Raw genomic sequence first — 22978 nt, 5'->3', positions numbered from 1 at the left:
AGACAGGGTCTCACTCTGACATCCAGGCTGGTAAAATCACAGCTCACTGTGGCCTCGACCTCTCTGGGCTCAGGCGATCCTCTCATTTCAGCCTTCCGAGTAGCTGGGACTGCAAACATGTACCACCACGCCCGACTAATTTTTGTATTTTTTGTAGAGGCGGGGTTTTGCTATGTTACCCAGGCTGGGCTTAAGTTCCTAGGCTCAAGCAATCTGCCTGCCTTGGCTTCCCAAAGTGGTGGGGTTACAGGCATGAGCTACCCCCACCCCCCCAGCCCACCGCCGGACGAGCTAAAGTTTCTATTCAACAGTACTCTATGGCAGGGGTCCCCAACCCCCGGTCCATGGCCTGTAAGGAACCAGTCCGCACAGCAGGAGGTGAGCGGCTGGCGGGCGAGCCAGCGGGCATTATCGCCAGAGATATGCTTCCTGTCAGATCAGCAGAGGCATTAGTCTGTCATAGGAGCCCGAACCCTATTGTGAGCTGCACATGCGAGGGATCTAGGTTGGGTTCGCCTTATGAGGATAAAATGCCTGATCTGAGGTGGAAGTTTCATTCCGAAACTATCTGCCCCCGTAGGAGAACTGTCTTCCACGAAACCGGTTCTGGTGCTAAAAAGGTTACAGACCTCTGGCTTAAAGAATCTATCGCTGGATCCGGTCAAACCCGTTTTCAGAGCCCCGTTACCAAGGGCTTCTATTGTCACTCACGGCTGAGGGGGCGGGGCCCGGCGCTTCGTCCAATCAGGGGCGCTGGGCGGGGCCTGCCGAGTGTCCATCGGGGAGGGCGAAGGCCCTGCTCTCCTCGGTTCCCGGCTCCAGGCGGCGAGCTGAGGTTGGGAGCCTGGCTTTCCCCTCCGAGAGGGTTCAGGTGCCTCTGCCATAGCTTCTGTCGCCTGTGCTGTGACCCGCACTGGTCGTGGGAGTCACCTGAAAGGCAAGAAATGGTGAGCGTGCGGGCCAGGGGTCCCGAGGCGGGGGAGGAGCTGGTTGGAACCGGCCGGAACCGGCTGTGGTGGGACCCGGGCCTCCCCGCGGCGACTCCGGGGTCTGGGACCCGATTTCCCGTGGGACAGCTCGGCCCTTGGTCCCCTTGGCCCCACAGTGGGGCTGGGCCGGCCGCCGGGACCCGGGCGTCTCGTCCTGTCCCTGCGCGGTGACTGTCACCCAGTTCCCAGAGCCCTCTCTGGGCAGCTCCGCGCCCGCTGCCCCGCGTCTCCCCACATTGTGCGGGGACTACGCGAGGGTCATGGGGGGATCCCGCCTCGGGTGTGGGGGTTTGTGTAGGAGGAGGGTGGGCTGTGGGGTCCCCAGTAGCGCCTTTCTCCTCTTAAAAATTAAACTGAGACACGTTAACAATTATAGTTTTGCTTCTCAGAATAGGTTTTAAAAAATATATTAATAATTAGAGTTCCTTTGAGATTCCTGAATGATAAACACCCAGTCCTGGCTTGTAATTTGTTAACGGAAAATGCCAAGCTGTGTAAAATAACTTAAAGAAGTTTATTCAGAGCCGAATAGGAGAGGCCTCAGCTGAGGAAAACACAACCCCAGGAGGCCTGAAGTAAGTGGTCCCGAGGCGGCTCAAGACTGTTTTTATTCATTTCAGGGAGACAGGAATTGCAGGGAGAATCATGCATCAATGCCTGGAAAGGTGTAAGTTCCTTTGGCAGAAAGGGCGGGACCTGTGGAAGGGGGGTTAGAAGGTGCAGGTGGTTGAGGGATTCTGAAGGTGGCCGTTGGTGGAGAGTGTGAAGCTTTGTCTAAAACTTCGAGGCGGTAGGAAGGATTGCTTAAGTGAAGAGGGTCTGGTATCTGTCATATGATTTCATCCCACCCAAAACAAAAGACCTGTTTCTTTAGATTTTGTGAATTCTAAGATTTGACTTACCTCTTGCCTTGCATGGCCTTAGGTCTTGTTTGTAATTTGGTTTCTTATTGTCACAGAGAGTCTGTGTTTCCAGTTGGCTGATGTCTGTTTTAACATGAAGGTGGGTCAGTGGCTATGTGGAAACTCCTAAAGGAAGCGGGTATAATGAGGCCTGTCCAGGTATAGTGAAGCCTGTCTGATGGTTAATCTGTAGTCAAGTGTGGGAGGGTTCCAGCTGGCTCTTTCCAGTGTCAGGTGACTCAATTCCAGAGTCACATTACTTTAAACTTCAAGATAATTTAGAGTTCCAACAGCTTCAATTTTTGAATTACTTATTTTCACAGACCATACAGTGGAAAATTTTTGGTTGTATAATCAGAGGTTACTCGACCAATTGTACCTGGTTAAGCCCATATTTCATTTCCCAATAAATTAGTAACTTGTTATTGTTTTCTCAGGCCACATACCGTCACATAAGTTAGTACTTTATATGAATAGCATTTGAATTTGATTTCCATGTTCTTGGCCAAGATCTTAGAGTACTATAGGCATTAAGTTTAATTACTTCTTATTCAAAATTTTCAACACTCCCCAGTTAACTGGTACTTCTCTGCATTTTCCAAATATATGGGAAGTGAGATCTCAAACCCTCCACCCTGTGACCCTGGCCTACCTCTGGAGAGCTTGCAGTACAATACTAAAATTTCAGTTCCTTTCTAAAATTTGCAGACACCAACTCTCCTTCTTCAATTTGTAGTATCAACTATTTGTTTTTGTTTTTGTTTTTTTTTGGAGACAGAGTCTTGTTCTGTCACCCAGGCTGGAGTGCAGTGGCGCGATCTCTACTCACTGCAAGCTCCGCCTCCCGGGTTCACGCCATTCTCCTGACTCAGCCTCCCAAGTAGCTGGGACTACAGGAGCCCGTCACCACGCCTGGCTAATTTTTTGTATTTTTAGTAGAGACGGGGTTTCACTGTGTTAGCCAGGATGGTCTTGATCTCCTGACCTTGTGATCCACCCGCCTTGGCCTCCCAAAGTGCTGGGATTACAGGTGTGAGTCACTGCGCCTGGCCCGTTTTTTGTTTTTGTTTTTTTGAGACGGAGTCTCGCTCTGTCGCCCAGGCTGGAGTGTAGTGGCACAATCTCTGCTCACTGCAAGCTCCACCTCCCGGGTTCATGCCATTCTCCTGCCTCAGCCTCGTAAATGAAAATGCACTGGCCAGGTGCAGTGGCTCATGCCTATAATCCCAACACTTTGGGAGGTTGAGGTGGGTAGATCACTTGAGGCCAGGAGTTTGAGACCAGCCTGGCCAATATGGTGAAACCTTGGCTCTACTAGAAATACAAAAGAAATCAGCCAGGTGTGATGGCACACACCTGTAGTCCCAGCTACTCCAGAGGCTGAGGCCTGAGAATTGCTTGGACCTGGGAGGTGGATTCTGCAATGAGCGGACATCGCACCACTGCACTCCAGCCTGGGCAAGTGAGTGAGACTCTGTCTCAAGAGAGGGGAAAAAAAAAAAAGGAAATGCACTTGGGGCACACAGGGGCACAGTGCAGTGTTGTTGGAAAATAGTCACTCAGCACTTCAGTGAGCAGGATGGGCACAGAGAAATGTCCCATGTGATAGGATGGCCTGACACTTGAGTCAAACATCACTGTGTTCTTTCTAGTCAGCATTGCCCCTCTGTGGGTTTGTCTTTTTGTAAATAATTGTTCACTTATTGCAGCTTCAGGTTTTTTATTAATTGTAATTTGCATTTTTCACTAGACCTTGCAAAATAAGAAAATTTTACACACAGGCCAGAAAGAGGTAGATTTCAGAAAAATGGCTGGATGCAGTGGCTCACACCTGTAATCCCAGCACTTTGAGAGGCCAAGGCAGGTGGATCACCTGAGGTCAGGAGTTCAAGACCAACCTGGCCAACATGATGAAACCCTGTTTCAACTAAGAATACAAAAGTTAGCTGAGTATAGTGGTGCATGCCTATAATCCCAACTACTAGGGAGACTGAGGCACGAGAATCCCTTGAACCTGGGAGGTGGAGGCTGCAGTGAGCTGACATTGCACCACTGTATTCCAGCCTGCACTACAGGGCGAGTCTCCATCTCAAAAAAAAAAAAAAAATCGCTATTTAGTCTTATATTCCATTTCTTAATATGTTTTTTTCTTCTCTGCGGGCAGTGTAGTACATTTCTCAGGTGTATCCTTTTGTTGTGGGTGATTTCCAATGATGTTATAGGGACTAGTTTTAGGAATGCTACTGGAGAAAAATAGGGAAAGTTTACTATTTTAACTGGAGAAAAATGAAATAATTTCCACAAGAAAGTATGGTAGATTGGTGAATTACAAAGAGTACCCAAAATATCAGTTCTGGCCAGGCGTGGTGGCTCACGCCTGTAATCCCAACACTTTGGGAGGTCGAGGCGCACAGATCACCAAGTCAGGAGATCGAGACCATCCTGGCCAACATGGTGAAACCCTGTCTCTACTAAAAATACAAAAAAAAAGCCGGGCATGGTGGCACAAGCCTGTAGTCCCAGCTACTCGGGAGGCTGAGGCAGGAGAACTGGTTGAACCTGGGAGGCAGAGGTTGCGGTGAGCCGAGATTGCGCCACTGCACTCCAGACTGGGCAACGGTGAAACTCCATCTCAAAAAAAAAAAAAGAAAAAGAGAAAGAAAAAAAAAAAACAGTTCTTTGCAGGATGGAGGACTTTTTTTTTTTTTTTTTAAAGGGTCTTGCTGTCACCCAGGCTGGAGTGTACTGGTGTGATCACAGCTCACTACAGCCTTGACCTCCTGGGCTCAAGCAATCATCGTGAGCCTCCCGAGTAGCTGGGCTCACAGGTGCATGCCACTCTGCCCAGCTAGTTATTTTTTGTAGGGATGAGGTCTTCCTGTATTGCCAAGATTTCGTGTCTTATTTCCACAAAGAGTCTGTTTTGTCTTTTGATATTACTTTATTTTTTAGACAGAGTCTCACTGTGTTGCCTAGGCTGGAGTGCAGTGGCACGATCTTGGCTCACTGCAACCTCCACCTCCTGGGTCCAAGCGATTCTTGTGCCTTAGCCTCCTGAGTAGCTGGTGACTGCCACCACGCCCAGCTAATTTTTGTATTTTTTTTAGTTGAGAAGGGGTTTCGCCATGCTGGCTAGGCTGATCTTGAATTCCTGACATCAAGTGATCCGCCCCTTCTTGGCATCCCAAAGTGCTGGGATTACAGGTGTGAGCCACTGTGCCTGGCTTGATATCTATTTTAACATGAATGTTGGTCAGCTGCTTTGTTTTTTTTTTTGTTTTGTTTTTTTTTTTTTTTTGAGATGGAGTCTCACTCTATCAACAAGCTGGAGTGCAGTGGCGCAATCTCTGCTCACTGCAACCTCCGCCTCCTGGGTTCAAGCAAATCTCCTGCCTCAGCCTCCCAAGTAGCTGGGACTACAGGCACGCACTACCACATCCAGCTAATTTTTGTATTTTTAGTAGAGACGGGGTTTCACCGTGTTGGCCAGAATGGTCTCAATCTCTTGACCTCGTGATCTGCCCACCTCAGCCTCCCAAAGTGCTGGGAGTACAGGCGTGAGCCAGCCACACCACTGCAACCCCCACCTCCCAGGTTCAAGTGATCTTCCTGCTTCAGCTTCCCAAATAGCTAGAACTACAGGTGTTTTCCACCACACCCAGCTAATTTTTGTATTTTTCATAGAGACGGGGTTTCACCATGTTGCTCAGGCTTGTCTCGAATTCCTGAGCTCAAGTAATCCTGCCTCCACCTCCAAAAGTGCTGGGATTACAGGCATAAGCCAGTATGCCCAGCTCTTTTAGTTATTTCAAAATGTACAATATATTATTTTTTACTATAGTCAACCTGTTGTGCTTGCAAATGCTTAGTCTTATTCATTTTTTCTGTGTTTTTGTACCCATGGACCCTCTCCATTGGTCTATATTTCCATCTCTCTGTTAATATCATTTTCTCTTTATTAGTATAGATCTCAAAGCTGTGATGTATTCTAGGGCTAGTGCCTATCTATCTTAGTCATCTTGGGCTTTTATATCAAATTCCCATAAACCGGGTGACTTAAAGAATAATTTCTAGGCCGGGCATGGTGGCTCACGCCTGTAATCCCAGCACTTTGGGAGGCTGAGGCAGGTGGATCACGAGGTCAAGAGATCGAGACTATCCTGGCCAACATGGTGAAAGCCTGTCTCTACTAAAAATAGAAAAAATTAGCTGGGCTTGGTGATGCGCACCTGTAGTCCCAGCTACTCAGGAGGCTGAGGTAGGAGGATCACTTCAACCTGGGAGGCAGAGGTTGCAGTAAGCTGAGATCATGCCACTGCACTCCATCCTGGTGACGGTGAGACTCCGTCTCAAAAAAATAAAAAAATAAAAAAATAAACATTTCTTTCTGACAGTTCTGGAAGCCTGGAAGTTATGAAGTCCATGTTCAAGGTGCTGACAGATCTGGTGCCTGGTAAGAGCCTGCTTCCTGGTTTGCAGATGGCTATTTTTTTTTTTTTTTTTTTTTTTTTGAGATGGAGTCTTGCTCTGTCACCCAGGCTGGAGTGCAGTGGTGCGATCTCGGCTTACTGCAACCTCTGCCTCTGGGATTCAAGCAATTCTCCTGCCTCAGCCTTCCGAGTAGCTGGGATTACAGGTGCCTGCTACCGTGCCCAGCTAATTTTTTGTATTCTTTAGTAGAGGCAGGGTTTCACCATCTTGGCCAGGCTGGTCTCAAACTCCTGACCTCGTGATCCACCCACCTCAGGCTCCCAAAGTGCTGGGATTACATGTGTGAGCCACCGCGCCCGGCCAGCTATTTTTTTATTTTTTCACATGACAGAGAGAAAGAGGAAACAAGCTATCCTGTGTCTCATAAGAGTACTAATCCCATTCACGAGGGATCTACTCTCATGCTCTAATCTAATTCTAATGACTTCTCAGAGATGCCATCTTAATTCCATCGTATTACAGGTTAGGGTGTCACTGTATGATTTGGAGTGGGAAAATGCAAACATTTATGTCATTAACATCCCTTAGTCATATTTTATACAACATCCTGGCTTTTTTTTTTTTTTTTTTTTTTTTTTTTGAGACAGAGTCTTGCTCTGTCACCGAGGCTGGAGTGCAGTGGTGCAATCTCAGCTCACTGCAACTTCCGCCTCCCGGGTTCAAGTAATTCTCCCTGCCTCAGCCTCCCGAGTAGCTGGGACTACAGGCACATGCCACCATGCCAGGCTAATTTTTGTATTTTTAGTAGAGAGGGGTTTCACCATGTTGGCTAGGCTGGTCTTGAACTCCTGACCTCAGGTGATGCGCCCACCTCCACCTCCCAAAGTGCTGGGATTACAGGTGTGAGCTACCACACCCAGCTTATGCTGGCTATTCTTAGTCATTGTCTTCTATTTCAGTGTTTAGAAGTAGTTTTTCTTAATTTTAATGAAAAAACAAACCTGCCTATGCATTTCATGGAATATAATAAAATACTAGATGTATTTCAGAGAGATTACATCACAGTGATAATCAGTGTGTGTTTAAGGACATATGACATCTTTACATTTATTACATTTTCCATTGATATCTTTCCATGGGTACTTTTTGGATAATAATAATTTTATATCCTTTCTGAGACTTTTTGGGACTTCAAGAAAATTAATTGCTTTTGGAGGCCAAGGTGGGAGAATGGCTTGAGCCCGGGAGTTTGAGACCAACCTGGACAACATAAAGAGACCCCGTCTTCACAAAAATTAAGAAATTCACCATGTGTGGTGGCAGGAGCCTGTATTATCATCTACTCAGGAAGGTAGGGATAGCTTGAGCCTGGGAAGTCAAGGCTACAGTGAGCTGTCATCATGCCCCTGCACCATAGCATGGGTGACAGTGCAAGAACCTGTCCCTAAACAAAACAAAAATAATAAAAACATTTTTAAAAAGAAAATTAACTGTAATACAAATTTGTTTAACAGGCTATGTTGTCTTTTTAAAAATTATATTCAGTAGGTTGTTGCTGGTATTTCCATGTGCACTGATAGTTATTTCTGCACAGAGTTTCCACTCTAGAAACTAAAAATATTACATATGGTCAAAACACATAAAACAATTTCACAGTGAACCAAAATATTGATGGAGCCAGTATTGCGAATGATAATTATTGTTTTCTTATTTTCTTCATAGTTTCATAACCTGGGTATGCATCCCTATCAGTATATTTTATTTTTACATTTTTTTATGCAGTTGATATCAGATATGTGATATTTTATATCATATTTTATTTTTACTTAGTAACGAACCTTCCATGGAATGGTAGTTCACTTTCTTGATTAATGGATTTTGTTTTTTATAGCAGTAGTCATTTGACCATAACATTGAGCAGATAATCTACATGGGTCCCACTTGTTTTTTCTTAGGTCACAGTTCTTCCTATGGTACTTCAGTCCTATGTACTGGGGAGGCTGTGGTGGGAGGATCACTTGAGCCCAGGTGATTGAAGCCACAGTGAAATATGATCATACCACTGCACTCCAGACTAAGTGACAGAGTGAGACCCTGTCTCAAAAAAACAAAATTGAAAAAAACAAAAAAAGATAAAAGAGTATATGGTCATGCCACTCTGAATGCACCTGATCTTAGCAGCTAAGCAGGTTCAGGCCAGGTTAGTACATGGTTTGTAGAATTCCTGGGAATACTGGTTGCTATAGCCTTAAAAAACAGAAATTGCAAGAGAATTCACCAAATGGAAGAAAGACATGCAAATTCTATACCTGGTCCTGACATATATCTATATCAGCTGAAGCCTAAGTGCCAAGACCAGCTTGGTCATGGAGACCCTAACCCAGTGGTGCTAGAGGAATTAAAGACACACTCAGAGAAATAATAGAATGTGGAGTGGCAAATCGGGGCTGACGGCCTTCAGAGCTGAAAGCCATGAAAAGAGATTTACCCACATTTATTGACAGCAAGCCAGTGATATGCATTGTTTCTGTAGATTATAGATTAACTAAAAATATTCCTTATGTGAAACAAAGGGATGGGCTCTGGCTAGTTATCTGCAGCAGGAACATGTCCTTAAGGCCCAGATTGCTCATACTATTGTTTGTGGGTTAGGAACACCTTTAAGCAGTTTTCCGCCCTGGGTGGGCCAGGTGTTCCTTGCCCTCATTCCAGTAAATGAACAACCTTCAGTGTGGGCATCATAGCCATCATGAACATGTCACAGTGCTGCAGAGATTTTGTTTATGGCCAGATTTGGGAGCCTGTCCCCAACATGTTCCCCCTTTTTGTTTTTGCAAGACAATAAAAGCAAAGGTGGCTTTATCATGGTGAGCTACATCTCGCAGGAGTTGGGATCCACATCTGCAGACTATACAAAGACAACACAGATTAAAAGCACAATCATCATTGAAATCACAGAGCCTCCAAGTGTTTTTATCTATTTTAATGGGTTAATAGCTGCTAATCCATCTGCAGCTCCTTCAAGCACTCCAGTTCCTGGCATTAAGGTCAGGTGTGCCTGGGATGCTTTAAATATTTGTTCTTTTAATTTTGCAATATCCAAGTTTCTAGAGTGTCCTTCTAGATGCTTTTTTATCCTTTCCCAAATTTTGATCTTATTAAGAGCCATTAATAGTTTCCACAAATCCTTATGTTTAGCTCCTACAGCAGGCCATATCATTTGAGGTTGAGGTGCCACTATACCACCATGTTTCCAGATAATAGGAACTCTTGCCATACTTCTTATCATTTCTACCATCTGACCATTTTGTTCAGACCAGCTGAACATAGTGTGGCCATGGCAGGCAGACTGAGAGGTGCAATTCAAGCTAAACATCCCCTTAGGGGAACAATCAATAATGACTCCATAGGAATCGTTGTGCAGCACCTCTGCCTGTTCTGCAATGCAATCTTCCCAAACAAGTACGTTCATTTTTTCTGACCAGGTCCAATCCTGTTTACAAATAGTTTTTTGAGGGCAGTATGCCTCAATTATAGGAGCAGATTATTATGGTAAATACTGAGACCAGAAAGCATGTGTAACTGTGTCATAGAGTGATCACATCCAGGCATTATTGCCAGCCAAGATTGATAAATATGCCCAATAAGTGTAATTGTTCTCTGTGTCAGCCCTTGTTGAAGGAATACTCATGGCAATGGTGATCACCACTGTCATAGCTATCATTAAATTACTCATTGTGACTGGTTGTCCCGCTTTTCTCAGGTTTTTCTCTGCCATCTGTGACAGCTTCTTGATCTGTCCCCAGGCAGTTGTTGCTCGTGACAGTTGGGGTCCTCCTCAGCATCAGTCTTGACATGGCTGCAACCAGGGAGTCTTTGGGATCCTCCCAAAACCTCTTCCTGGGTATCTGGCTCATAGTAAGGCTTTAGATGTCTCAATGGCACCCAGATTGGCTGTTGATTTCATCCTGGGGAAACACAAGCATAACCTCTACCCCAAGTTATTATTTTACCTATTTCCCAACTTTTTGTTATCAGATCTCTCCACCAAACCAGTTGTTCTGCTTCTGTCTTTGCAGCTGGTTTCTGTAGATATTGTTCAGCTGCTGATAGCATCTGGCCTTTAGGCAGGCTCAAAAAATTTAAAGTCAATAATTCTAGATTCAGTTGCATATGGGGTGTCCTGTAGTCCCTGTTTCCCCCTTTTTGCTTTTGCAACTGCTGTTTCAGGGACAGATTCATTCTTTCCACTGTGGCTCATCCTTGAGAATTGTATGGAATGCCAATAATGTGTTTAATATTCCATATGGAGAAAAATGTAGCTAGAGCTTGGCTAGTATAGCCTGGGGCATTATCTGTTTTAATAGAAGCTGGAATGCCCATCACTGCAAAACACTGCAAAAGGTGACGTTTAACACAGGCAGAAGACTCTCCTGTTTGGCATGTAACCCAGTCAGACTGAGAAAAGGTGTCCACACATACATGTACATAAGCTAGTCTCCCAAACGAGGGAACATGTGTGACATCCATTTGCCAAAGAGAATTAGGTTCCAATCCTTGAGGATTAACTCCTCCTATAAAAGATGAGGAATGCACCATTTGGCAAGTTGGGCATCACTGAATAATAGCTTTAGCTTCTTTCCAGGTAATGCTGTATCTGCATTTGAGACCAGAGGCATTAACATGGGTTAAATTGTGAAAGTGTCTGGCATTAGATATTGTAGTAGCAACTAGGCCATCAGCCATTTGATTCCCTTCAGTTAAAGGTCCTGGAAGAGGTGTATGAGCCCTAGTGTGAGTGATGTAAAAAGGGTGTATTCTATTTCTAACTGCTGTTTGCAATTGGGTAAATAAAGTCATCAGTTGTTCATCTGTATGAAATGGCAACTGAGCATTTTCAGCTAATGGTGTGGAATGAACCACATACAAAGAATCAGAAATCACATTAATAGGCATATCAAAAGCAGTCAATACCTCACTTACAGCTACAAGCTCTTGCTTTTTGAGCCGAAGTACAGGGCTTCTGAAAAACTTTACCTTTCAAGCTGGAATAAGAAGCTTTACCATTACTAGACCCATCTGTGAAGACATTTTCAGTACCTTCAATTGGTTTAAATTTAGTTATTTTAGGGAGAATCCAATTAGTTAATTTCAAAAATTGAAATAGTTTTCTTTTAGGAAAATGATTATCGAGAATACCCACAAAGTCAGCTAATGGGTTTGCCAAGTAAGACTGTTTATAAAAGCTTGCTGTATTTGTGTCTTTGTGAGAGGGACAATAATTTTTCCAGGATCATATCCATGTAATTTAACAATCCGAGTTCTCCCATTTCCTATCATAGTAGCGATTTGATCCAGATAAGGAGTTAAGAGTCCATGAGTTAGTATGTGGAAGAAAAAGCCATTCTACTAAGTCCTGCTCTTGGACAATAACACCAGTAGGTGAATGCTGAGTTGAAAAAATTAGCAAATCTAGAGTCTTCTCTGGATCTATTCTATTTATCTGAGCTTTATGGACTTACTTTTCAATCAGCTGTACCTCTGCCTCAGCTTCTTTTGTTAATTGCCTAGTGAGACTAGGATCTCCTCTAAGGATAGAAAACAGATTACTCATAGCATAGGTAGGAATGCCTAGAGCAGGTTGTATCCAGTTGATATCCCTTAGTACTTTTTGAAAGTCATTTAATGTTTTCAATTGATAAGTCTGGCAAATTGTTGGACTGTTTAACACGCCTTATGGCAACACTTTCCAGTGAAAATGCTTAGCAGGCTGCAGGTTGTTTATTGCAGGAATTGTAAATGCAAACCGTTCACAGTCTTGCTCAGCTAAAGGGATAGTAAAGAAACAGTCTTTTAAATCTATGACAATTAAAGGCCAATTTTTTGGAATCCACAGGAGAAGGCAGTCCTGGCTGTAATGTCCCCATAGGTTATATAACTGAATTAATGGCTCTTAAGTCAGTTAACATTCTCCGTTTACCTGATGTTTTCTTAATTACGAAGACTGGAGAATTCCAAGGGGGAAATGTTGGAGCTATGTGTCCTTTTTCTAATTGTTCAGTAACTAAGTCCCCTAAAGCCTCCAGTTTTTCTTTACTTAGCGGCCATTGTTCTATCCAAATTGGCTTATCTGTTAACCATTTTAAAGGTATAGTTTCTGGAGGCTTAACAATGGCCACCATCAAAAATGATACCCTAAACCTTGGTGGGAACTTTGTCTTTCTGCTTGGAGCAGTTCCTTCAAACCCTGCAATTTTTTTCCTAGGACATACCCCATTTCATGCATCATATGTTGACTTTCAGGGCTATATAATTGCTCTGGAATTAGAACTTGTACTCCCCATTGTTGCAGTAAAATCTCTCCCCCATTAATTTATAGGTACAGAAGTTACAATTGATCGAATAGTCCCAGGTTGTCCATTGGGCCCTTCACAATGCAAAATACAGATTCTTTGATATACTTCAGGGGCTTTACCAACTCCAACTCTGTTAAATTGAGTGGGTTGAATTGGCCATGCGGACAGCCAGTGGTGTAGAGAAATGATGGAAATGTCTGCTCCTGTATCTACCAATCCTTTAAATTTCTTTCCCTGAATAGTTATTTCACAGGTAGGACATTTATCAATACTTTGATTCACCCAGTAAGCTGCTTTGCCTTGTTTATTTGTGCTTCCAAATCCTCCTGTTCGTTTAATTTCACTTTTCCCCATTTCCACATATGGCACAATCAGGAGTTGTGCTTTCCTGGCTCTGCTTTCCAGGGAACAGAAGTAGCTATAACAATTTGAATTTCCCATTGTAATCTGAATCAGTGACTCCTGTATGTACTTGCACTCCTTTTAAATTTAAACTAGATCTACCTAGAAGTAATCTGATTGTCCCTACTGGCAAGTGTCCACAGACCCCTGTTGGAACTTTTTGTGGGGGTTCCCCAGGCAGAAGACTCACAGCTTTTGTGCAGCATAAATCTACCGTGGCACTACTGGCTGTGGTGGGGGATAGATATTGTACAAGGGTTAGGGAATGGCCTCAGCCGGAAATGCCTTGGTTTGGAATGGGGCCCGGGACAGGCCCCTCATGGTGTTTCCCAAATTTAAAAGGAAAAGGCTCAAATGTAGCTATAGTATTTTCCTGTTGATCTGGGGGGTGTATCCTAACAGGGAACTGCCAAGCCTCTATATCACCCTCTCTTGTAGCTTGGTGAATTCCTGCCTGAATAGAACTGAGAGCCATTGCTCAAGGTGCTGCTCGAACACTCATTGGGGAAACTACTTTTTGTCCAGTGTCCTCCAGAAAAGAAAGATCTGGTGGGTCAGGCCACTCTTTTTCTTCAAAATAAGGAGGGGGTGCAGAAGGGTAGGGATGGACTCTTCCTCCTTTGCCACTTTAGCTTTAGCTGGCAAACAAACCTGCTCTGTCATCTCTTCTGTTACTTTCCTTCCTCCTCCTCATCAGTGTGAAAAGGTTACAAGATGGAAGGAACCAGAGCCCACACTTGTCCCTTTGTTACCCTGATGCTTCCAAGCTCCCCTTCTTACCACGGGCATTGCTTTAGAGTACTCGGGTGTCCTCCAGCTTAGTTCCACATTCTCCAACTGTTACTCCGGTGACACTTTGACCTGGGTTCAAGACCCACACATGTACACCACTTGCCAAGACCATCTCGGTCATGGAGACCCTAACCCAGGGGCACTAGAGGAATTAAAGACACACACAGAGAAATATGGAGTGTGGAGTGGCAAATCAGGGGGCTGACAGCCTTCAGAGCTGAGAGCCACGAACAGAAATTTACCCACATATTTACTGACAGCAAGCCAGTGATAAGCATTGTTTCTGTAGATTATAGATTAAAAGTATTCCTTTTGGGAAACAAAGGGATGGGCTGAAACAAAGGGATGGGCTCTGGCTAGTTATCTGCAGCAGGAACACGTCCTTAAGGCAGAGATCACTTACGCTATTGTTTGTGGTTTAGGAACACCTTTAAGTGGTTTTCTACCCTGGGTGGGCCAGGTGTTCCCTGCCTTCATTCCGGTAAACCAACAGTCTTCATTGTGGGTGTCATGGCCATCACGAACATGTCACAGTGCTGCAGAGATTTTGTTTATGGCCAGTTTTGGAGCCAGTTTATGGCCAGATTTGGGGGCCTGTTCCCAACACCTAAGTCTCTATCACAGCGTGACGGTTGAATTGGCAGCCAGTACCGCCAGGCATCCTGCATCATCACTGCAGGAGGTAAGCTCTACCCTAGTACCCTGTCTGGGAAATAGTGCACCCACAGTCCCCTATCTTACTAAGTTTATGGGATAACAGCAGGGAGTGGTCTTCAGGAGAGAAATCTGACCTGGTGTTTTGGTTTTGTGAGTGGGAGGTAGTCTCAGCTGTCTCCCCACAGGGAGAGAGCCTATTATCCCTTATGCATTCTAGATTTCTGAAGCAGAGTCTCCAGTCTAAGTCCCTATCTCTTATAAAGAGAGATTGTATTGAAAATGTGTTTAAAATATCAAGGAAGGCTTTATTCAGCACAATTGTAATATGTGTCATGAGAACTATAATATGGAGATTACAGTTCTGTATATTATATTACAGTTCTCACGACACGTAATAGGCTGTCTCCCTGAGTTTAATCTCTCTCCTATATTACAGGGCAAGGCGAGGGAAAGGATGGAACTTGGTGAAGTGTCAGCAGTTAGGGAAGAGAAAGTTGATGGATTATCATGAGTGAGGGAAATTGAACTTGATTGGAAATACTAAGTTTTGGTGGGAGAGATTCTCTGTGCACTGCCTTAAAAGGCTTTTTGCTATAACTGGGCTCTGCAGAAGAAGGCCAAAGCCTAGACAAGAAGAGGGCTGTGAGATCAAGTTTGGTCAAAGAAGGAGTCCTGGCCAGGTGCAGTGGCTCACAGCTGTAATCCCAGCACTTTGGGAGGCTGAGGTGGGTGAATCACGAGGTCAGGAGTTTGAGACCAGCTTGGCCAACATGGTGAAACCCCCGTCTCTACTAAAAATACAAAAAAATTAGCCGGGTATAGTGGTGGGTGCCTGTAATCCCAGCTACTTGGGAAGCTGAGGCAGGAGAATTGCTTGAACCTGGAGGCAGAGGTTGCAGTGAGCTGAGATTGTGCTACTGCTCTCCAGCCCGGGTGGCAGAGTGAGACTACTCTGTCTCAAAAAAAAAGAAAAAAAAAAAAACAGTAAAGCAGGAGTCCTTAAGACCCCTGTAGCTTAGTGCTGTTTTTTTTTTTTTATATTTTTGTTTTTGAGACAGAGTCTCGCTCTGTCGCCCAGGCTGGAGTGCAATGGCGCAATGTCGGCTCACAGCAACCTCCGCCTCCCTGGTTCAAGCGATTCTCCTGCCTCAGCCTTCCCAGTAGCGCGCATCACTACACTCAGCTAATTTTTGTGTTTTTAGTAGAGACAGGGTTTCACCATGTTAATCAGTCTGGTCTCGAACTCCTGACCCCAGGTGATCCGGCCACCTCTGCCTCCCAAAGTGCTGGGATTACAGGCGTGAGCCACCGCGCTCAGCCAGCTCTTCTTAGGAATGACAATAAATCCCTAAATTTCTGCTTTCCTCGATACATTCCAAAACACTCACTCCTCTCTCGAAAGGACGTCTTCAATTATGTGTTTCTCATGATACACTTGAAACAGCTGCAGTATTTAAATTATTATTTTTTACTTTAATAAATGGCTATATTTAAAATTTTATTATTTTATGAATACTTTTCATGAGAGAAAGTGCTCAATAACCACCTGAAACTACACTGTGTAAAATACTTATGCCTGTTGACTCCTGATGTTGAGCACCACTTCATATACTTATTGGTCATTTCTATGTATTGCAGAAATGTCATTCAAATACTTTTGCTTTTTTTTTTTAAAATTTTTTTGAGACAGAGTCTTGCTCTCTTGCCCTGGCTGGAGTGCAGTGGCACAATCTCGGCTCACTGCAGCCTCTGCTGCCCAGATTCAAGTGATTCTCCTGCCTCAGCCTCTTGAGTAGCTGGGATTACAGGAATGTGCCATCATGCCCGGCTAATTTTTGTATTTTTAGTAGAGATGGGGTTTCACCATTTTGGCCAGGCTGGTCCTGAACCCCTGACCTCAAGTCATCCGCCCACCTCGGACTCCCAAAGTGCTAAGATTACAGGTGTGAGCCACCATACCTGGCCTATGCCCATCTTTTAATCAATATCAATTAGTTTTTTTACTTGGTACTGTGATTTATTATTTTTAATTATTGTAAAATAATAAACTTCAATTTTACCAGCTTAAGCAGTTTTAAGTGTATAGTTGCACAACACTACATAACTCATCTAAGGTGAATTATACTGTAATTTTCTTTTTGTGCCTAGCTTTTTGCAATTACCATAGTATCCTGAAGTTTTGTGATTGTTGTAGCATGAGACAGGATGTTATAAGATTAATATTTCAATGTATATATATGCCTAGCATATTTTCATTATGCATGCAGCCATCAATGGACATGTGGATTGATCTGGCTCTTTGATTTTGTGAAGAGTGGTTTTCAAATATGTCTTCAAGGTTCAGTTTTCAATTTTTTCAAATTTAATATAACTAGACCCAAAAGTGGGATACAGGAAAATACAGTAATTTTATTTTTTTAGGCACTACTGTACTGTTTCCATAGAAGCTGAGCCATTTATTATCCTTTAAACAGAGCACAAGGAGTCCCTTTTCCCTTTGTTGATGGTGTCATCTCATGCACAAAAGTGGTTTTTTTGTGATGGAGTCTTGCTGTTGCCCAAGCTGGAGTGCAGTGGCATGATCTCAGCTCACTGCAACCTCCAACTTCTGGGTTCAAGTGATTCTCCTGCCCCAGCCTCCCAAGTAGTGGAATTGCAGGTGCATACCACCATGCCTGGCTTATTTTTGTATTTTTAGTAGAGACGGTGTTTCACCATGTTGGCCAGGCTGGTCACCAACTCCTGGCCTCAGGTGATCCACCTGCCTCAGCCTTCCAAAGTGGTGGGGTTACAGGCATGAGCCACCATGCCTGGCCACAAAAGTTTTTAAAAGTTTGATAAATGTTTGCCTTTTTGTTGAGACTAGGTGCCTGGAAATTTTTTTTTTTTTTTTTTTTTTTTTATTAAGATGGAGTCTTGCTCTGTCACTCAGGCTGGAGTGTGGTGGTGTGATCTTGGCTCACTGCAGCCTCTGCCTCTTGGATTCCCGCGATTCTCCTGCCTCAGCCTCCTGGGTAGCTGGGATTACAGGCACGCACCACCATACCTGGCTAATTTTATTTTTTTGAGACCGAGTCTCACTCTGTTGCCCAGGCTGCAGTGCAGTGGCATGAGCTCATGAGTGTAGAGCTCATGAGTTTTTGTTTTAGTTATTTATGACTCATCATTTAGATTGATAAGACCCCTTGTAAAATCCAGTTTTTTGGTTTTTGTTTCTGCTGCAGCACTCAGAACAAAATTCATTTTCTAGATAACATCAAAGGTTAAACTTTGTCGATAGGCATTTTTTTTTCAAGGATATGCAGCCTCAGGACTGCTAATGTTAACTTTTTCTGCACAGGAATTTGGAAGACTTTGTTATGGCAGGTGCCGTACTCCCACTTTACAAACAAACATTAGGGGCAGCCCAGGCAGCACACCTTTCTGGATTTACCAAAAATACACATTTTCCTATTCTACTGTTGCTTTACCACATGGTTCAGTTGTAGCCTCAGAATTACTTTATGGAAGAAACTGAGTGTAGACAGAGAGTATGAGGTCTGATGGTCATGGAATAATTGTTTTGAGTCCACAGCATCATGGAAACCTCTTGGGAATAGAGTATAGGCTTCCCAGTGATGTTAGTCTTATCCATCCTCCTCTATACATGTGAGATGTTTCAGGATTCAGTGGCCTTTGAGGATGTGGCTGTGACCTTCACCCAAGAGGAGTGGGCTTTGCTGGATCCTTCCCAGAAAAATCTCTGTAGAGATGTGATGCAAGAAACCTTCAGGAACCTGGCCTCTATAGGTAAGGGTGACAACATTACTTCCTTCAGTAAATGAGACAACAAGTTTTTTTTTTTTTCTGAGAACAAGTATTTTTAGCTCATGTATGCTGTTGAGTGATTTACAATGTGGACAGGGAATATTTGATAAATAAAGGAAGCATGCTTGCAGTGTACCATGAACATAGAATCATGTAATTTTTTAATAATTTTATACTAATTCAAGATTATTTTCCTTGTTGTGTGTTGTAGGGAAAAAATGGAAACCCCAGAACATATATGTAGAGTACGAAAATCTAAGGAGAAACCTAAGGTAACTTGCACTCACATGACAAAGACGTGTGTCTCTAGAAAATCTTAGAATGGGAGAAAATGTTAAAAAAAAAAAAAGGAAACAAAAGAAATAAGCACAATTTCAATCTATTTATTCTTAGAAAATTTTCTCTAAACACATATTGAAGTGTGATGTAGGCTTGACACAATGGCCCAGGACTATATTTCAGCCCTTTGGGAGGTTCAGGCTGGAGGATCACTTGAGCCCAGGAGGTTGGGGCCATACTAAGTCATGATGGCATCACTGCACTCCAGCCTGGGCAAGAGTGTGAGACCCTGACCCAAAAAACAAATTTAAAAAGACAGATATTTAGTATTTGTAAAATAGTTTACTTTAAAATAGTACTCAGAGACGCCAGGCGTGGTGGCTCACGCCTGTAATCCCAGCACTTTGGAAGGCCGAGGAGGGTGGGTCACTTGAGGTCAGGAGTTCAAAAGCAGCCTGGCCAACATAGTGAAACCCCATCTCTACTAAAAATATAAAAATTAGCCAGGCATCGTGGTGGACACCTGTTATCCCAGCTACCTGGGAGGCTGAGGCAGGAGAATCGCTTGAACCCAGGAGGGGGAGGTTGCAGTGAGCCAAGTTTGCCCCACTGCATTCCAGCCTGGGCAACAGAGTGAGTCTCCATCTCAAAAAAACAAAACAAAACAAAAAAAACCAAAAAACAGTATTCAGAAGCCTTCTATCATCTTTTTTGATAATAGATATGGCTGGGCCATCTTGTAGAGCCTGTGGTCCGTTCATATTCAAACAATTCAGACAGGGCAGAAAGCCTACAGTTTGCTGGATGATGTTAAAAATGGAAGTGCAGGCCAGGCACAGTGGCTCATGCCTGTAATCCCAGCATTTTGGGAAGCCGAGGCAGGTGGATCACCTGAGGTCAGGAGTTCAAGACCAGTCTGGCCAACATGGTGAAACCCCGTCTACTAAAATACAAAAAATTAGCTGGGTGTGGTGGTATGCACCTGTAGTCCCAGCTACTTATGAGGCTGAGGCAGGAAAATTGCTTGAACTCAGGAGGTGGAAGTTGCAGTAAGCGAAGATCGCACCACTACACTCCAGCCTGGGCAAGAGAGTGAGACTCCATCTCAAAAAAAAGAGAAAAAATGCAAGTGCAATACTTGTGAATGAATATAAAATCACTGATAATCAAACCCATTATAATGTACTTCTTATTGTTCACAGAATTGTGGGAGAGAGACTCTTTGAAAGTAAAGAAGGTCATCAGCATGGAGAAATTTTGACCCAGGTTCCAGATGACATGCTGAAGAAAACAACTACTGGAGTAAAATCATGCGAAAGCAGTGTGTATGGAGAAGTAGGCAGTGCTCATTCATCTCTTAATAGGCACATCAGAGATGACACTGGACACAAGGCATATGAGTATCAAGAATATGGACAGAAACCATATAAATGTAAATACTGTAAAAAACCTTTCAACTGTCTCTCCTCTGTTCAGACACATGAAAGGGCTCATAGTGGAAGGAAACTCTATGTTTGTGAGGAATGCGGAAAAACATTTATTTCCCATTCAAACCTTCAAAGACACAGGATAATGCACCGTGGAGATGGACCTTATAAGTGTAAATTTTGTGGGAAAGCCTTGATGTTTCTCAGTTTGTATCTTATCCACAAACGAACTCACACTGGAGAGAAACCATATCAATGTAAACAGTGTGGTAAAGCCTTTAGTCATTCTAGTAGCCTTCGAATACATGAAAGAACTCACACTGGGGAGAAGCCTTATAAATGTAATGAATGTGGGAAAGCATTCCATAGTTCCACATGCCTTCATGCTCATAAAAGAACTCACACTGGGGAGAAGCCATATGAATGTAAACAGTGTGGGAAAGCCTTCAGCTCTTCCCATTCCTTTCAAATACATGAAAGAACTCACACGGGGGAGAAGCCATATGAATGTAAGGAATGTGGAAAAGCATTCAAGTGTCCCAGTTCTGTTCGCAGACATGAAAGAACCCACTCTAGGAAAAAACCCTATGAATGTAAACATTGTGGGAAAGTATTATCTTATCTTACCAGCTTTCAAAACCACTTGGGAATGCACACTGGAGAGATATCTCATAAATGTAAGATATGTGGGAAAGCCTTTTATTCTCCCAGTTCACTTCAAACACATGAAAAAACTCACACTGGAGAGAAACCCTATAAATGCAACCAATGTGGTAAAGCCTTTAATTCTTCCAGTTCCTTCCGATATCATGAAAGAACTCACACTGGAGAGAAACCTTACGAGTGTAAGCAATGTGGGAAAGCCTTCAGATCTGCCTCACTCCTTCAAACACATGGTAGGACTCACACGGGAGAGAAACCCTATGCATGTAAGGAATGTGGAAAACCATTTAGTAATTTCTCTTTCTTTCAAATACATGAAAGGATGCACAGAGAAGAGAAGCCGTATGAATGTAAGGGTTATGGGAAAACATTCAGTTTGCCCAGTTTATTTCATAGACATGAAAGGACTCACACTGGAGGAAAAACCTATGAATGCAAGCAGTGTGGCAGATCCTTCAACTGTTCGAGCTCCTTTCGATATCATGGAAGGACTCACACTGGAGAGAAACCCTATGAATGCAAGCAATGTGGAAAAGCCTTCAGATCTGCCTCACAGCTTCAAATTCATGGAAGGACTCACACTGGAGAGAAACCTTATGAATGTAAGCAGTGTGGGAAAGCCTTTGGATCTGCCTCACACCTTCAAATGCATGGAAGGACTCACACTGGAGAGAAACCCTATGAATGTAAGCAGTGTGGGAAGTCTTTTGGATGTGCCTCGCGACTTCAAATGCATGGAAGGACTCACACTGGAGAGAAACCGTATAAATGTAAGCAATGTGGGAAAGCTTTTGGATGTCCCTCAAACCTTCGAAGGCATGGAAGGACTCACACTGGAGAGAAACCCTATAAATGTAACCAATGTGGTAAAGTCTTTAGATGTTCTTCACAACTTCAAGTGCATGGAAGGGCTCACTGCATAGACACCCCATAACCCCAGGCTTTAGGAGGCTGAGGTGGGGGGACTGCTTAAGCCCAGGAGTTCAAGACCAGCCTGGGCAACATAGTGAGACTCTGTTATAAAAATTAAATAAATAAATAAAAAGACTTCCAGTTGGTGGTAATGGCAGTTGAGAAATCCGTGGCTGGGATACAATGGCATCTGCTGGGCAGCGCAGAGAAGTCACAGAGGGAGAATGGGTGGGCAGGGGGCTACTGGAACAAAATGGTGGTCTGGGTCTCACAGCAGCAATGACTTTAAAGGCCAGGGAGAGGTGGGAAAAGGTGAGGGCTCCCAGGATGCAATGCCGGAGACATGGTGATGTCCTTAGGTCCAGGACTGCTGGGGGCAATGGCACCTGAGGGAGGTAGGTGTGGAGCATGAAGGAGCACAGGGTGAAGTTCAAATCATGGCTGAGGCCAGTTCAAGCTGAGGGTAAAGGTGCCTGAGGAGGGCACGAGAGTCAAGCCAGGTTTGGGGGACAGGGGAGAGTTTCTAAGTTGTATGGGTCTGCTGAGGGATCCAGCATGACTGGGTCCAGTCAGGGAGTTTGGGGGATTCAGAGTGAAGGGTTGGATCCTGGACATTTGTGCAGGCCAGGAGGGAAGAGGAAGGTGGTGGCAGGGAGCATAGAGTCCATGGGTATTGGGTGTGTGTCCCGTCAACCTCACATCATGCAAAAACGTAGGACTGAGTTGTGAAGAGTTTATTCAAGTGAAAAGCTGGGAATGGCCATTCAGGAAAAGACACACTCCAGAGAAATGGGCACAGGGCTCCAAAGACAAGAGTTCTTTCTTAGATTTTCAATGAATCATTTTCACCAGTCCTAACAGTCTGCGGGTCACCTTTCCTTCTGTTCTAACTGCTCTCCTTGTACCCTTGGGAGGGTTTGTGATGCTGTCCTGTTTGGAAAAGCCATGCTGCTCTCTTTACACTTCACAGTAGCTTGGTTTGGATCATTTCTGTGCTGTGCTCAGATGCTCCTTCCTTCATATAAGGTTGAGGAAAAGGAGACACATCTGACCCATCCATGTGTGTTTGTGAAACAGGCAGCAGCAAATAATTATTCAGTTTTAGGAATTAGGCTCACACTGGAGGGAGAGGTCAGAGCCCTTCGGGGGAATATTTATGAACAAGTAACAGATGATTAAATTCTCCAAAGCAAACAACTTTTCTACTTGAGAATAAAGTGTTTCTAGTTAAATTATGCAATTCATTCAGCAATCTAATGTTTCATGTAATACTGATGATCCTACTAATTTATCCTGATGTTCTCTACTTAATGCTTAATGAAAAATATGGCACTTCAAAATAGCTTCTGCAGCAAGGGAAG

General features: G+C 43.9%; 1 protein-coding gene, 1 long non-coding RNA gene and 1 pseudogene across 14 annotated transcripts in view, besides 3 other annotated features; 2 read left to right on the top strand and 1 right to left on the bottom strand.

The window, feature by feature from the left end:
- Positions 1-22978, bottom strand: part of ZNF433-AS1 (ZNF433 and ZNF878 antisense RNA 1) — a 58659-nt gene that overhangs the window by 9792 nt on the left and 25889 nt on the right. For 2 of the 3 annotated variants that reach the window (NR_134928.1, NR_134929.1), the window contains one exon: positions 712-930. This is a non-coding gene — a long non-coding RNA (ZNF433 and ZNF878 antisense RNA 1). Of the gene's footprint in view, positions 1-711; positions 931-9289; positions 10291-22978 lie in introns of those variants that run through there. The other variant, NR_134927.1, reaches the window with a different exon arrangement.
- Positions 691-850: a silencer, noted in NCBI's record as "silent region_10139". NCBI's record gives its function as "represses an Ori minimal core promoter by ATAC-STARR-seq in GM12878 lymphoblastoid cells {active_cell/tissue: GM12878}" and the evidence as "EXISTENCE:reporter gene assay evidence [ECO:0000049][PMID:35858748]".
- On the top strand, positions 805-21769 carry ZNF433 (zinc finger protein 433). Of its 11 annotated transcripts, none has more exons than NM_001308351.2 (6): positions 805-947; positions 1610-1656; positions 6286-6344; positions 18192-18318; positions 18548-18608; positions 19818-21769. In NM_001308351.2, the coding sequence occupies exons 4-6, from the start codon at positions 18285-18287 to the stop codon at positions 21637-21639; spliced, it is 1917 nt and encodes a 638-aa protein (NP_001295280.1). In that variant the 5' UTR covers positions 805-947; positions 1610-1656; positions 6286-6344; positions 18192-18284; the 3' UTR covers positions 21640-21769. The 11 variants fall into 11 exon arrangements, with proteins under 11 accessions (NP_001295280.1, XP_011526030.1, XP_047294275.1 ...); XM_011527728.3 differs by having other exon boundaries at positions 18183-18318; XM_047438319.1 differs by lacking the exon at positions 6286-6344 and adding an exon at positions 1948-2050 and having other exon boundaries at positions 18183-18318.
- Positions 1091-1140: a silencer, noted in NCBI's record as "silent region_10138". NCBI's record gives its function as "represses an Ori minimal core promoter by ATAC-STARR-seq in GM12878 lymphoblastoid cells {active_cell/tissue: GM12878}" and the evidence as "EXISTENCE:reporter gene assay evidence [ECO:0000049][PMID:35858748]".
- Positions 1151-1270: a silencer, noted in NCBI's record as "silent region_10137". NCBI's record gives its function as "represses an Ori minimal core promoter by ATAC-STARR-seq in GM12878 lymphoblastoid cells {active_cell/tissue: GM12878}" and the evidence as "EXISTENCE:reporter gene assay evidence [ECO:0000049][PMID:35858748]".
- Positions 8463-8571, top strand: RNA5SP465 (RNA, 5S ribosomal pseudogene 465; annotated as a pseudogene).

This window comes from Homo sapiens, chromosome 19, assembly GCF_000001405.40.
Source record: "Homo sapiens chromosome 19, GRCh38.p14 Primary Assembly".
Lineage (NCBI taxonomy): Eukaryota > Metazoa > Chordata > Mammalia > Primates > Hominidae > Homo > Homo sapiens.
Note: the sequence above shows the minus strand (reverse complement) of the source record. Positions and strands in the feature narration are given on the sequence as shown.

Bases quoted from the DNA above. Each gene is read 5' to 3' on its own strand.
- ZNF433 (XM_047438319.1), top strand. From the start codon at position 2,006: ATGTGGAAACTCCTAAAGGAAGCGGGTATAATGAGGCCTGTCCAG. The intron at 18,319-18,547 runs GTAAGGGTGACA...TGTGTGTTGTAG, and splicing joins CAGGAACCTGGCCTCTATAG to GGAAAAAATGGAAACCCCAG. The intron at 18,609-19,817 runs GTAACTTGCACT...TATTGTTCACAG, and splicing joins AATCTAAGGAGAAACCTAAG to AATTGTGGGAGAGAGACTCT.